The 12,937-nt window shown below is 53.6% G+C and overlaps 2 protein-coding genes across 5 annotated transcripts, besides 5 other annotated features; one reads left to right on the forward strand and one right to left on the reverse strand.

Annotated features, from left to right (window-relative positions):
- Positions 694 to 793: a silencer, noted in NCBI's record as "silent region_11666". NCBI's record gives its function as "represses an Ori minimal core promoter by ATAC-STARR-seq in GM12878 lymphoblastoid cells {active_cell/tissue: GM12878}" and the evidence as "EXISTENCE:reporter gene assay evidence [ECO:0000049][PMID:35858748]".
- Positions 736 to 3,434, forward strand: TLX2 (T cell leukemia homeobox 2). Its single transcript, NM_016170.5, has 3 exons — positions 736 to 1,492; positions 1,919 to 2,156; positions 2,259 to 3,434. The coding sequence occupies exons 1-3, from the start codon at positions 1,093 to 1,095 to the stop codon at positions 2,473 to 2,475; spliced, it is 855 nt and encodes a 284-aa protein (NP_057254.1). The 5' UTR covers positions 736 to 1,092; the 3' UTR covers positions 2,476 to 3,434.
- Positions 1,374 to 1,443: a silencer, noted in NCBI's record as "silent region_11667". NCBI's record gives its function as "represses an Ori minimal core promoter by ATAC-STARR-seq in GM12878 lymphoblastoid cells {active_cell/tissue: GM12878}" and the evidence as "EXISTENCE:reporter gene assay evidence [ECO:0000049][PMID:35858748]".
- Positions 1,972 to 2,473: an enhancer, noted in NCBI's record as "H3K27ac-H3K4me1 hESC enhancer chr2:74742813-74743314 (GRCh37/hg19 assembly coordinates)". NCBI's record gives its function as "activates a minimal SCP1, AML or CMV promoter by ChIP-STARR-seq in naive H9 embryonic stem cells {active_cell/tissue: H9 hESC(naive)}" and the evidence as "EXISTENCE:reporter gene assay evidence [ECO:0000049][PMID:30033119]".
- Positions 2,474 to 2,973: an enhancer, noted in NCBI's record as "H3K27ac-H3K4me1 hESC enhancer chr2:74743315-74743814 (GRCh37/hg19 assembly coordinates)". NCBI's record gives its function as "activates a minimal SCP1, AML or CMV promoter by ChIP-STARR-seq in naive H9 embryonic stem cells {active_cell/tissue: H9 hESC(naive)}" and the evidence as "EXISTENCE:reporter gene assay evidence [ECO:0000049][PMID:30033119]".
- Positions 3,435 to 4,416: 982 nt separating the features above from the next.
- On the reverse strand, positions 4,417 to 12,517 carry DQX1 (DEAQ-box RNA dependent ATPase 1). Of its 4 annotated transcripts, NM_133637.3 has the most exons (12): positions 12,422 to 12,517; positions 11,779 to 12,034; positions 11,295 to 11,488; positions 10,209 to 10,593; positions 9,596 to 9,823; positions 9,405 to 9,504; positions 9,142 to 9,300; positions 8,866 to 9,057; positions 6,201 to 6,320; positions 5,842 to 6,032; positions 5,326 to 5,516; positions 4,417 to 4,888 (listed from the first exon to the last, which is right to left on the reverse strand). In NM_133637.3, exons 2-12 carry the CDS (start codon positions 12,013 to 12,015, stop codon positions 4,732 to 4,734), a joined length of 2,154 nt encoding a protein of 717 aa, NP_598376.2. In that variant the 5' UTR covers positions 12,016 to 12,034; positions 12,422 to 12,517; the 3' UTR covers positions 4,417 to 4,731. The 4 variants fall into 4 exon arrangements, with proteins under 4 accessions (NP_598376.2, XP_047299539.1, XP_011530947.1 ...); XM_047443583.1 differs by lacking the exon at positions 11,779 to 12,034; XM_011532645.1 differs by lacking the exons at positions 11,295 to 11,488; positions 11,779 to 12,034; positions 12,422 to 12,517 and having other exon boundaries at positions 10,033 to 10,301.
- Positions 12,615 to 12,784: an enhancer, noted in NCBI's record as "active region_16070". NCBI's record gives its function as "activates an Ori minimal core promoter by ATAC-STARR-seq in GM12878 lymphoblastoid cells {active_cell/tissue: GM12878}" and the evidence as "EXISTENCE:reporter gene assay evidence [ECO:0000049][PMID:35858748]".

A 12,937-nucleotide genomic window follows, 5' to 3' on the forward strand; every position in this document is an offset into this window, starting at 1 on the left:
ATTGAGGACTCCCTGCACTTGGGGTCCGGGGGTAAGTGCCAGCCCCAAGAACCCGCCGGCCTGATTTGGCCCGGGTTGAGCCATGGTCCGTTTTACACGGATTTTGGAAAATCGAAATTCTAGGAAACACAGGACACCAATTACCGGTGCGCATGAACAGGGCTGGGGGGACCTACAGGAGAGGCCAGAAGGCGCACCACGATCGCCAGCCCAAAGCGGCCGTTCCCCGCCCTTAGCCCCTGCCGTCCCCTTCCCACACCTGTTCTCTTCCTGGGCCTGCAGCTCACCGGGCGCCGTTCCCCAGCCGCTTCTTACGCAGCCGGGAAACCACAACGAGATTTGGTCTTCGAGAGCATTTAGGCGGGGACCACAACGAATCCGGGAGTTGGCCAGAAGGATCCATCGAGAGGCGAAGAGTGGGGGCTGGGGGAGGAGGCACCTGCGGAGGAAGCCGGTGAGGCGGAGGCAGCCCAAAGGCGGAGGCCGCCCAAAGGCGGAGGCCAGCAAGGATGGAGGCGCGGTGAGCATCTCCGCTGACTCAGCGGCCCATGCTCGGGCCCCTCCCGCGCTGAGCCTGGCTCCTAACACCCTGGCCCCCTGTCCCCCTCCCCGCACATCTCCGCCAGCCAGCCTTCCCCCTGCGCTTGGCGCAAACAGGCGTCCCTTCCCCTTTAACTGCTGGGCCCCGCCCCTGCCCTACCCCCAGCCCCCACTACCCACCCGGGCCGATCCGTCAGTCACTGCCCCAGCCGGAGCTGGCCAACCCTCTCCACCCGGGACTTGGGCAGCGGCGCCGGCAGCCCAGCGTCTATTTGCGCTTAAGAGCCAGCAAGGAAGCTCCAGGGGCCCCAGCTGGCCGTGCTCCCCCGGGATGCAAGTCCCTGCGCTGACGCCCGGCAGCGGCTGGCACGGGCGCGGCTGCTCCGGGTGCACAGGGATGCTGCTGTTTCGGGGACCCCGGCGCCCTGCCTTGGCCAGCCCCGCGGGCCCCTGAGGCCACTCTCCGGAGCGCGCCGCCGCTGGGCTTCTGGCGCTGCCTGAGGCATCCTCCCCAACCACCGAACCTCCGGCGGTTCTCCTCGGCCCAGACCGATGGAGCCGGGGATGCTGGGTCCACACAACCTCCCACACCACGAGCCAATCAGCTTCGGCATCGATCAGATCCTGAGCGGCCCCGAAACCCCAGGGGGCGGTCTAGGCCTGGGTCGCGGGGGCCAGGGTCATGGGGAGAATGGGGCGTTCTCGGGTGGATACCACGGAGCCTCGGGCTACGGTCCCGCCGGCTCACTTGCCCCGCTGCCCGGCAGCTCCGGAGTGGGCCCAGGCGGCGTGATCCGCGTCCCTGCGCACCGCCCGCTGCCTGTGCCGCCGCCCGCTGGGGGGGCGCCTGCAGTGCCTGGGCCCTCGGGTTTGGGCGGCGCCGGAGGCCTAGCGGGACTCACCTTCCCCTGGATGGACAGCGGCCGCCGCTTTGCCAAGGACCGGCTCACGGGTGAGGTTGTCTGACCCCTCCAGCGTCACGCCCGACTCTGACCCCGTCTCCTCATTTCTTAGCTTTCTGCTCCAACTCAAGGACCCCTTTCACACCTCCCACTAGATCCTCCCAGGGGATCCTCCCCCAACTCAAATCTCTGGGTCCTGCCTCCGAGAGGTGATGGGGAGGGAGCTGCCGTCGGTGCCCGCGCCCTCCTCTGTAGTCCCACTGTCCACGCGTGGGGAGGGGAGGGTGAAGTTACAGGGGACGTCTCCCTCGCATCCCAGGGGAAGGGCCTTTCTTGGCTATAGGGCTCGGCTGATGCTTAGGGCCCGGGTAAGGACAGGGCGCGGGAGTTCTGCGGCCTGGACAGCCGCGCGGCCTTCTCAGTGGCACCTCGGGCCACCCTGCAAATCCTGCCCTGGTCTTTCTTCCTCCCGGTAGCTGCGCTCTCGCCCTTCTCTGGGACGCGCCGCATAGGCCACCCCTACCAAAACCGGACCCCTCCGAAGCGGAAGAAGCCGCGCACGTCCTTCTCCCGCTCACAGGTGCTGGAGTTGGAGCGGCGCTTCCTGCGCCAGAAGTACCTGGCCTCTGCGGAGAGGGCGGCGCTGGCCAAGGCCTTGCGCATGACCGACGCACAGGTCAAAACGTGGTTCCAGAACCGACGCACCAAGTGGCGGTGAGGCGCGGCGCGGGCGAGGGCGGACTGGGGTTCCCGAGCAGGGCCTGGTGAGAAGCGACGCGGCGGGCGCCCCGCTGACCCCGCGTCTCCCTCCCTTAGGCGCCAGACGGCGGAGGAGCGCGAGGCCGAGCGGCACCGCGCGGGCCGGCTGCTCCTGCATCTGCAGCAGGACGCGTTGCCACGGCCGCTGCGGCCGCCGCTGCCCCCGGACCCTCTCTGCCTGCACAACTCGTCGCTCTTCGCGCTGCAGAACCTGCAGCCCTGGGCCGAGGACAACAAAGTGGCTTCAGTGTCCGGGCTCGCCTCGGTGGTGTGAGCGACGCCCGTCCGATCGGCGTGGAGCGCCGGGCCCGGAGCGGTGGAGCGCGCGGCTGCCTGCGTCCATGGTCTAGTGGCAGCCGGGCGCGTGAGGAGCGGCAGGCCTTGAGGCTGTCGTCGAGGGCTCCTCCACCACCGGCCGGCTCCCAAGCCAGCGTTGCGCAGATGCACGGCCAGCTCAGAGGCGGCCTTTCCCGCCATTTTTCACTTCACTGCCGTTACGCCCTCGCTGGAACCTGAGGCGCCGAGAGGGCGGGACCTGCAGGACAGTAGCCAATGAGGTGCGGGGAGGGGGCCGGGCTGGCCAATGGGAGCTGCTTTCCTGAGGGACTCGAAATTCTCCGGCGGGTGGTCGGGAGCTGGGGCTCTGAGGGGCTCTAGCGGCGTTGCGCGCGGTGCCGGCTGGGTCTGTACCAAAGGTGTGAAGGAAAGAAGACACCGACCACGGCGAAGCAATAGAGGGGGTGCTGGAGCGCGAGAGGCTGGCTGATTGTGACCGAAACCAGAGGGTTGTCCACCCCGGGCATCTCATCCCTCAACTGTAAAATAATCGCTAAGGATTCCTTCCTGACTTTGAGCCTCACGTTGTCATGTGTGTTCAGCCTGCTGGCCACATCCTCCGGCAACACGCCCGGGCAGGAGGCGAGTCGGATACTTACACACCCAACGAAAGAGAAAATCTGGCTCCGGTGTCACATAGGGACAGAGAAGGGAGAGGAGGAAACAGTGGACAAAGTTAATGGGCCCAGTGGAGTTAGGGTGAAGAGAATTTGGAAAATAATTTGGAAGTGACAAGCTTAAGAAGAATCAAAGGTAATTCCAAGACTGGAAATGTGCAGCATCAGGAAATCAATGGTGCTGTGGATGATGAAAGGGAAATTGGGAAGACTGGAGCAAAATTAACTGTATAGGCAAAACTAAATGTTATACCTAGAGAGAATAAATCCTGGAGAAGTGCCTTTGAGGGAGATCAGCTGACATCCACATAGAGGTGGACCTAGATAGAATGAATGAGAACAGATAGAATCTCTGAGGGAGGGAACTCTTGAGGAGAAAAGCAGAGTTCTAAGGACTAAACCTTTCCACCAAATTCGACAACCACCTTTGCAATGTGCAAGATGATGGAGAATACCTAAGTCAATAGTCCAAGGGCAGGCAGGGCACGGTGGCTCACGCCTGTAATCCCAGCACTTTGGGCCGAGGCGGGAGGATCACAAGGTCAGGAGATCGAGACCATCCTGGCTAACACGGTGAAACCCTGTCTTGACTAAAAATACAAAAATTAGCCAGGCATGGTGGCACATGCCTGTAGTCCCAGTTACTCAGGAGGCTGAGGCAGGAGGATCGCTTGAACCCGGGAGGTGGAGGTTGCAGTGAGCTGAGATTGCACCGCTGCACTCCAGCCTGGGTGACAGAGCGAGACTCCGTCTAAAAAAAAAAAAAAAAAAAAATTCCGAGGGCACAAAAGGGGAAGGGAAGGAAGGAGAACCTAGGAAGAAAGAAAGGAAAGCATGATGTCTCTGAAGTTGTTAGAAAGACTTCCCCTTGTGGGTGTGTCTGGGCTGCTGGGAAGCTTGTTAATAGAAAGTCTAGTTAGGGGATGGTTGCATTAGCCTTAAGGTTTAAAAAGGAATTGGATTTAAGCTGTATGAGGAAGAAAGGGAAGAATTTGTCTGATTCCTCTAGCACCCCCATCCTTTGTCCCCTGGAGGCTGGTGCACTGTGACAGAGGGAAGAGAGGCCAGGCTAGAGACCAACTGTAGCCAGACAACTCATGTCTGTGCTAGTGACAACTATGTCGATCATAGCATGAAGGCCTGATTGGAGATGGGAAGAGGCTAGAGACTATATAGTTGGAGGAGCTGGCCCTGGTTATTTACTGTAATATCATCACTGATTTATGGATGTTGTATATGGCACTGCAGGACCAAACTAAAACTTGGCATCATAGAAAAATCTTTTATAGATCACAAGGGAGTACAAGAATGGGTTTGGCAAAGTTAAGAGAATGAGGAGCATGTCAGTCCCTCTCCAATCAATAAGAGAAGGCTAAGGAAAGAGTCCTTCCCTATGTAGACTGTGGTTTACCCCATTCTTTCCATTCCCAGTCTACCATTTCTTGGGACTCAGGTTCCAGGGTTTACATTTGACCCTAAACTTTGGGCTTCTAAATCTGTCTGGGTGCTTTGGTGTCACCCTGAGGGATAATCTAATGTGATGAGATGAACCCAGCTCCATTCCATAGGCAGGCAGGTCACTGCAGGACACAGGGATCTCTGAACTCCTGGGCTGAGGATGATTTGCTCCCTGCTGTAGAATCTGCCATTCCTTCCCTTAGCTGGTTCAGAAGGTCTCTGCTCTCACTGGGAGGCAAGTTACTCAGGAAGTATGGAGGGGCCAATTCCACCAGCCTAATAGAGAGAGTCATAATTAGATGATCTGCATCTTCTCTCTCTCTGTCTCTCTCTTTTTAGAGACAGGGTCTCGCTCTGTTACCTGGGCTGGAGTTCAGTGGCATGATCATAACTCACTGTAGCCTTAGACTCCCGTAATCCTTAGCCTTAGACTCAAGTAATCCTCCCACCTCAATCTCCCAAGTAGCTGGGACTACAGGGTGGTTTCAAACTCCTAGCCTCAAGGACTCCTCCTGCCTAGGTCTCCAAAAGTGCATCTTCTCTTATAATGCAGACTTTTAAACTTCTCACCAGCCCTTCCACAAATCCTGTCTCCTCAGATCATGTTTTTACTAACCACTAAGATCCCTTCCTCTGTCTCTCTAACTCCCCAGCCATAATTTTGGCCCCAGGGAGAGGAATAGGCAGTATAGGAGGGATGTCAGGGAACTCACATCTGTGGTTGAATCTCAGAAACAATGGAAAGGCAGTTGTCTTTGGATATGGTGAAATTGTGGTAGAGCACCCATGGTGGGGGTCTGGCAGGAGCTCTGCGGCTTCGGTAGCAGCAGTATGAGGAGAGCTGGGCCACATGCTTATGGGTTAGGAGAAGGTAATTTCCAGTCCCGTCTGTGTCTCTGGCCACCTTATTGAAAGGCAGAAATATTGACGGAATAAATAAAAGGGAAGAGGCAGGCAGTAGAAAAAAATAAAAGGGGATTGAGAAAGAGTAAGGGTGATGAGAGCATGAAAAGTAAAGCATTACCTCTAGGTGTTGTCTGGTCTCTACTATACCTCATGGCATTTACCATAGCCCCTTGTACCTCAAATCCTCAAGGGAAAAGTCCTTTCTGGTTCTAAAGAATCTTTTGAATGGCCACCTGGACCCTGATTTCAAAGTGGCTTACCAATATTTGTTCTCTTTGCCTTTTGCTCCTTTGATCACCCTCACCCCCACCCTTTCCTCTAACCTTGAGAAAGTATCCTGACACCAGTGCTTTCTGAAGGTCTCTGCGATTCTGCTCAGAGCCAAAGGCTGGTAGGGACAAGGGAAGTTCAATTCGTTGCATGAGTTCTAGGAGTTCTCCCCGAAGTTTATGGGCTTGGCACAATGCTGCCCAATTCAGACCTCGAGCCTGGCACCAAGCCTCATCTGCTCCACCTAGGAGAGGAAAGGGACCAGCTAAACTAAAGTCCTTGAGACCCCTGAAATAACCCAACCCTTAGCCAAAGGGCCTCCTCTTTCTGAGCATAGAGATCTGTCAGCTGGCTGCATAAAATTTCCCCTCTTTGGAAAATCTGGGATTCTATAAAAGGATGCAGAACTCACTTTGTATAAAGGCTTCATACACCTGGATCAGAGAACTGTGGTCACCATCCGTGTGTTCCAGGGCCCGACGCAGGGCAGCTTCTTCTGCACTGAGTGGAGGACGGGTAAACCCAGGGGCAGCTGGAGGCAGAAGAGTGGAAGGTAGAATCTGCCATTTGGGAAATGGGAAGGGATAGTAGTACAGGTAGAATGCTGAAAAGGCAGAAGTGTCCCTTTGGGAACTTTATTCAAAAGACATAGATAACTTCTAGGTGCTATGCACTTTATTAAACATTGAGGATAAGTAAATGAAATACAGTCTCTGCCATCAAGGAGCTTCAAGTCTGGTGGGAGAGACCAACAGGTAAGCAGACTTGATAAGCATGATAGGTGTTTGTATATGGTACTGTGGAAACAAAGAGGAGGATACCTAATCCAGGCTTTAGGTGGTGAGGATGTGAGTGATGTAAGAGAAAACGATGAGGACCCTTGGGCTAGTATTTGAAATTTGAGTAGGAATTAGCCGAGTGGAGACGGGGCAGGGAGTATGTTTTAGACTGTGGCAACAGCATGGCACGTAAGTTAATAATATAGCATATTTGGGGAACTGCAAGCCATCTGGTATGGGTGGAGGGAATGAAATGACGTGGCAGAATGGCAGGAGATAAAGCTGGAGAGGTAGGTATAGGTAAGGTCATGAGAGGCTGGAGTACTGAGGAAAGGAACTGTCTTTAAGGTAAAGAGTAGCTGTAGAGGAAGAGTTGTGGGGTTTTTTTTGTTGTTGTTGTTTGTTTATTTGAGACAGGGTCTCACTCTCTTGCCCAGGCTGGAGTGAAGTGGCGTGATCATGGCCCGTTGCAGCCTCAACCTCCCAGGCTTAAATGATCCTCCTACCTCAGTCTCTTCAGTAGCTGAGACTACAGGCATATGCCACCACACCTGGCTAATTTTTTGTTTTTGTAGAGACAGGGTCTCTCCTATGTTGCCCAGGCTGGTCTCAAACTCCTGACCTCATGTGATCCTCCCATCTCAGCCTCCCAAAGTGCTGAGATTACAGGCACAAGCCACCACGCCTGGCTGAAGAAGAGTTTTTAAGTAAGAGAGTCCATGTGTCTGAAAAAGTTCACATTACTAGTTAGGAGGCTACTGAGGAAAACCAGCTGAGCAATGAGGAGGACCTACCATTGGCAGATCCTACCTACCGTATTCACTGGAAGTGAATATGGAGAAGGACAGATGAATATATTTATATATATATTTACATTTAGGAGATAAAAGTGAAATAACCTGGAGAAAGACTGGTCTAGAGTGATGGTAGCAGAGCAGCAGAGATAATAGTATTATCTGAATCTAAGACTCTAGAGAGAGGAAAAGATTTTGTGGTGATGGTGGTGAGGGAGTGGTTTAATAGAGCATTTGAGTTCAGTTCTGAGCTGAGGTACTGTTAACTATTCTGGTAGAAATGTCCATCAGGGGCTGGGTGCCGAGGCTCAGGCCTGTAATCCCAGCAGTTTGGGAGGCTGAGGTGGATGGATCACCTGAGGTCAGGACTTTGAGACCAGCTTGGCCAACATGGCAAAAACCCGTCTCTACTAAAAATACAAGAATCAGCTGGGCATGGTGGTGCGTGCCTGTAGTCCCAGCTACTTGGGAGGCTGAGGCATGAGAATTGCTTGAACCAGGCAGACAGAGGTTGCAGTGAGCTGAGATCATGCCATTGCACTCCAGCCTGGGTGACAGAGTGAGACTTTGTCTGAAAAAAAAAAAAAAGAAAAAGAAAAAAAGAAACGTTCATCAGGAGTTGGAGTATGCTCTCTCTCTCTCCCTCTCTTTCCCTCTCCCTCTCTCCCCCTCTCCCCCTCTTTCCCTCTCCCTCTCTCCCCCTCTTTCCCTCTCCCTCTCTCCCCCTCTCCCCATGCGTCTCTCCCTTGCTCTCTCTCTGTCTCTCAGATTCGAAGAATGGTATTGGGTGAGAGATACACGGCACAAGGTTTGGAAATTTTAAGGCTAAAGGTAGCACTTCAAACCATGGGTGTGGATAAACTTGCTCAGAGAGTTCAGGGAATAGAAGACAAAAGAGGCAAGAATAGAACCCTGAGGACCAATTTACAATGGATAAGAAGAGGACAAAGAGCTCAAGGAAAAGATAAAGGGGATGACCAGAGACGTAGGATGAAATCCATGAGGAGCAGCGTTACAGAGGCCTAGGGAGGAGGCAGTTTCAAGGTGGAGCGGTCAGCAATCTCAAGTGTCAAAAGAAGGTCATGAATAAGGGTTCAAAAGTATCCACTGGATTAGGTACCTGGAAGGTCACTGGTGAGTTGAAAGCTGTTTCACTGGCATGGTAGACCTGAAGCTGGAGTGCAGTGGGTGAGCAATACACCAGTTAGAACAGGATAGAAATCATGCTGCATAGCTGAAGGGGAGGATAGGGTTGAGGAAGAGGGGTGTGTGAGTTTTAGCAATAACAGATTAGGAGAGATTTAAGCATGCTGAGGGCAAGAACCAGCAGAGAAAAAAGGCTAAAGAGACAAGAGGGAGATGGGTGACTAAGCCTGGTTCTTTAGGCATTGTGAGGGGTGGCAACTGGAGCAGAGAGGAAAGGGCTAGCCTCAGGAGCACCAAAACCCAAGAGGAAGGGCTGAAGTGGTTTCAAGAGCTATGGATTTACAGCAGCGATTTATACCTGTGAGCATGGCAGCCAGGGTGAGCATCTCGTCCACACAGTCAAACTCGCATGAGGCCAGCAGGGCTTTGGCCAGCTCAGGGGCCAGAGGGAATTCTGATAGTATGACACCCAGATCTGACAGGTCCCCATCATCATCCAGGGCTGCCAGATAGTCTAAATCTTCCAGGGCTTGCATCAGTGCTTCTGGAGCTGGTGAGGAAACAGGGCTTACAGGATATGAAGTTTCAGAACTGGGTGGTCAGATGGCAGTGCTTGGGCAGGAGAGGTGCTCACCAGGCTGGTCCAGGAAGTGACACTCCCCTGGCTCTGCAATCTGTCTCCTTTTTAGTAGTAACACCAGGGAGCTCAGATTCTCCTCACACACCCTGGGTTGTGGCAATGGTGGAGCTTCTAGTTCTAAGAAGGACTTAGGATACAGGCAGAGGCAGGATCCTGAGGGGAAAAAGACCTGGGAAAGAAGACCACTGTAGATTTCTCAGGGCTTGCATGTTGGTGACTCTTGGGTTTTTTATTTCAGTGAGGGCAAAGGCTCTTACCTGGTGGGAACCCTCTTGCTCGCAATCGTCTTGCCTCTGCCTGACACTTGCTGATTGGCCTCAACACTTGGAATTCTGCTCGGATCCTAGGATTGTAAACCTGTTGCCCGTCCCCCAACCAAGGCCAAGACAGATCAGAGTGGGCCATTTCTGTCTTTACTACCCCACCGCTATCTCTCTCTCTCACTCACACTTCGGAGCTCCAGTCCTGAGTCGATGACATGTTGGATGGAAGGGAGGGAGAAGGAGAAGTCAGCCAGCCAGTGAGTGACCACAACCTTTCGGGCATCCATGTCCTCATACACAGCCTGAACGGCTCGTCCACAGTCTGGGTGAAGGGGCAGTACTCGTGGTGGAAGCCCTTGGAGAAGCAAGGACTCTACCTCCCTGGACAAGGATTCACAGCACAGGGAAATTTCCTGAGAAGAAGGGTGGGTGGGGCATTAGGGCAGTTCTCACGTTTTTTGGGGTCACAGATCCCTTTGAAAGACTGTTGAAAGTTATGGCCCTTCACTCTGAGAAAATGCAAATTACTCATAAAGTTGAAGGTTTTATAATTTCAGGGGTTCACTGAATCACAAATCTCTGCATTAAAGGGAATAAAAAAGTGAGTGGTAAACCTCTTTACCCTGAAATCCTCAAGTTTTTCTCTGGGACCCCAACGGAGAGTAAATACTGCAACTCTACTGTTCCTAAGAGGCATTGCTCCCATTCCCATTCCTCAGGACTGGAAGATGATGATGAGTACCTCCTTTTGCAGGCTCATTTTGCAGGCTGTTTTTTTTGTTTTGTTTTGTTTTTTACCTCCTCACTGGGCAGGAACACTAGCACATCTCCTGGAAGCTCCTTCCGACACAATTCAAGCACTGCTTGGCAGGCAGCTTCCACCCGATCAGGTGGGATGGTGTCCCAGTAGATGGGGGAAGGTCTCTCACCAGGCTCTCTGGGTATATGCACAATAGGAGGATTGCCCCAGAAAGCTCGGAGCTTAGGTTCAAGGGCTGGGTCAGTAACCACAACCACTCTGAGGTCCCCCGGAAGTTTTTCCAGCCTGGCATCTTGCAGTAGCCCCTGGAGTGAATCTGATGCCACCGACCGCTCCTGAGCCTCATCTAGTACCAGCACGCCCCAGGCTCCAGTGCCTCGGGTCGAGGCCACCTCCTGCAGAAGCAGCCTGTCCCAGCAGAACCTGTTGACATTGGTAGTGGGCAGAGGAATCAGTGTGGACACTGACCAGCCCCACAAGCTCAGGGAATCTTCTCCCCAAGGGACGTATATTTTGATATTGAAGGTCAGAAAAATATGCTGTGACTTCCTGAGCCTATGGACCCATAACTGTCACCCCACAACCCCGCTGAGAACACTTTGTTCACAAGGTATACGCCAGCTGGGAAGTGAAATTTTTCTGATGAGGGTGAGGCTGAATGTCTGAGGCCCCTGGCTGGGATTCAAGGGCTTATTTTAGCCATTGCACCACACACAATTTAGAGTGAGTTGGGGCCAGGCACGGTGGCTCATGCCTGTAGTCCTTACACTTTGGGAGACCGAGGTGGGTGGATCACTTGAGCCCAGGAGTTTGAGACCAGCCTGGGCAACATGGCAAAAAATATAAAAATTAGCCAGGCGTGGAGGTGCGCGCCTGTATTCCCAGTTACTTGGGAGGCTGAGGTGGGAGGATCACTTGAGCCCGGGAGGTTGAGGCTGCAGTGAGTTGTGATTGCACCACTGCACTCCAGCCTGGGTGACAGAGTGAGACCCTTTCTCCAAAATAAATAAAATAAAAAAGAGTGAGTTGGGCTAAGGGAGGGTATGGTGAGATGCCAGAGGAATGGGTTTGTTTCTACTGAATAAGGGGAATTATATTCGGGTAAGGCCTGCAGAGGCCCCCACCTGAGCAGGGTGTTGGGCCCCGTGCAGTCCTCCTGGGGGATGCTGTATCCAACCTCATGACCCAGGGTCAGGTCCATCTCATCAGCAACCCGCAGAGCCAGGCTCCGGGCTGCAAGAGGGTAGGGCTGAGTAACAGTAACCTGTCCTTTCTGGAACCCTCTGGCCAGCGCAAACTCTGCACACCACTGAGGGATCTGGGATAGAAGTAGGGAAGGAGAGCCAGTGAGGAAGATGTAGGACTTCAGTCAGAAGTGCTCAGGGAACTATGGCCACTTTAATCTTTCCTTATTTGGGGAGTCCCCTGGTCTTTCACCAGCCTCCAGGGCCAACCTAACCCATCCCATCTCTCTTCGTTCACCTTCCTCATGACCCCACGCAGCCCAGTCCCCCCTTGCCCAGGGAAAGGCCACTTTCCCTTTGTCCTCCCTTTGTCCTCCCTTTGTCCACTCCCAGAATCTGCCTGCCCCCACAACCCCCACCACACCTGGGTGCTCTTGCCAGAACCAGGCTCCCCAGACACCAGCACCACTCCAGTGGGGTTACTCTCCAACTGCTCCAAGAAGGTAAAGCGAGCAGCCCAGATGGGCAAGGCTTGGCGCTGCTTCAGCAGCTCATAGTAGCGGGAAGAGAAGGGAAGCCCATCAAAGGGGTTCACAGCCAGTTCAGACTCCCCAGGACTTGGGCCATACTCTTCTGCTAGCCTGAGAGGCTGAGAGGTCATGGTGGCTCTCTGGCAGGACCTGCAGAAGGCAGAGCAGCCAGTAAGGTCATATTTGGTGACCGACACCATCTTCCCACCTCAGCCCTGATCCTTAACCTCTACCTTCAGTTGATCATGCTCTGGGGCCCACCCTTCCCAGCATTTCCTGCCAGGAAACAGTGCTAGGTATTTTGATAAAGGGCTACTGAGAGTTAGTCGACAGTCCCTATAGTCAGGTAGTAGAAATCTACCTGAGACTATTACCCCGTTGGCAGGTAGTAGAAATCTTACTTAGGCAGGGGTCCTCAAGGGCAGTAGAAATTATGTGAGACCTAGTAACCTGTGGGAAAGTCCTGAAGGGAAAAGGATAAAGAATATAGGGGGTGGGGAGAGGAACAGCAGAGTCACAGGGATCCTGGATTCAAACCTGCTTGCAGCTCTAGGACGTGTCAGGACGGCAGTCAGCTCCAGACCCACGTAGTCACCACCAACCCTGACCGTGTGAAGTACAAAGGTAAATTCCGGCTCTACCTCAGGGATGGGCTCAAACTTCAAATCCTGAAGCCTGCTTTTGGGGTGGGGCTATTTGCTCCACCTTATTTAACCTAGTCAGGAACCTATGGAAAACAGGCTCCAGCTACCACACTGAGCATGTGTGAACTCTATAGATGATGTGTAGTGTGCTTGTGAAAGGCATGCTGGGACTTGTAGTTTTGCAGCAGCTTCCTCCAAAACCTGGGCTGATCACCCAAGCTGGGTCTTCAGTTCAGTTACACTTCCTTAATTTATCACTCATCACTTGGCATGAGGAGGTGATTTTAGACAGTTGCAGTCTGACTACCCCCTTCAAATGTACGAGAAGACTCTCACCCCCATCCCCCGCAGCCAAGGAATAAGGAACCCACTCACAGGGCTTTTGAGACCGAGAGAGACAACAGATGCC

Source organism: Homo sapiens, chromosome 2, assembly GCF_000001405.40.
Source record: "Homo sapiens chromosome 2, GRCh38.p14 Primary Assembly".
NCBI lineage: Eukaryota > Metazoa > Chordata > Mammalia > Primates > Hominidae > Homo > Homo sapiens.

Bases quoted from the DNA above. Each gene is read 5' to 3' on its own strand.
- DQX1 (NM_133637.3), bottom strand. From the start codon at position 12,015: ATGACCTCTCAGCCTCTCAGGCTAGCAGAAGAGTATGGCCCAAGTCCT. The intron at 9,824-10,208 runs GTAAAAAACAAA...CCTTCTTCTCAG, and splicing joins TGTTCCTGCCCAGTGAGGAG to GAAATTTCCCTGTGCTGTGA. The intron at 9,301-9,404 runs GTAAGAGCCTTT...TTTTCCCCTCAG, and splicing joins AGCAAGAGGGTTCCCACCAG to GATCCTGCCTCTGCCTGTAT.
- TLX2 (NM_016170.5), top strand. From the start codon at position 1,093: ATGGAGCCGGGGATGCTGGGTCCACACAACCTCCCACACCACGAGCCA. The intron at 1,493-1,918 runs GTGAGGTTGTCT...TCCTCCCGGTAG, and splicing joins TGCCAAGGACCGGCTCACGG to CTGCGCTCTCGCCCTTCTCT. The intron at 2,157-2,258 runs GTGAGGCGCGGC...TCCCTCCCTTAG, and splicing joins AACCGACGCACCAAGTGGCG to GCGCCAGACGGCGGAGGAGC.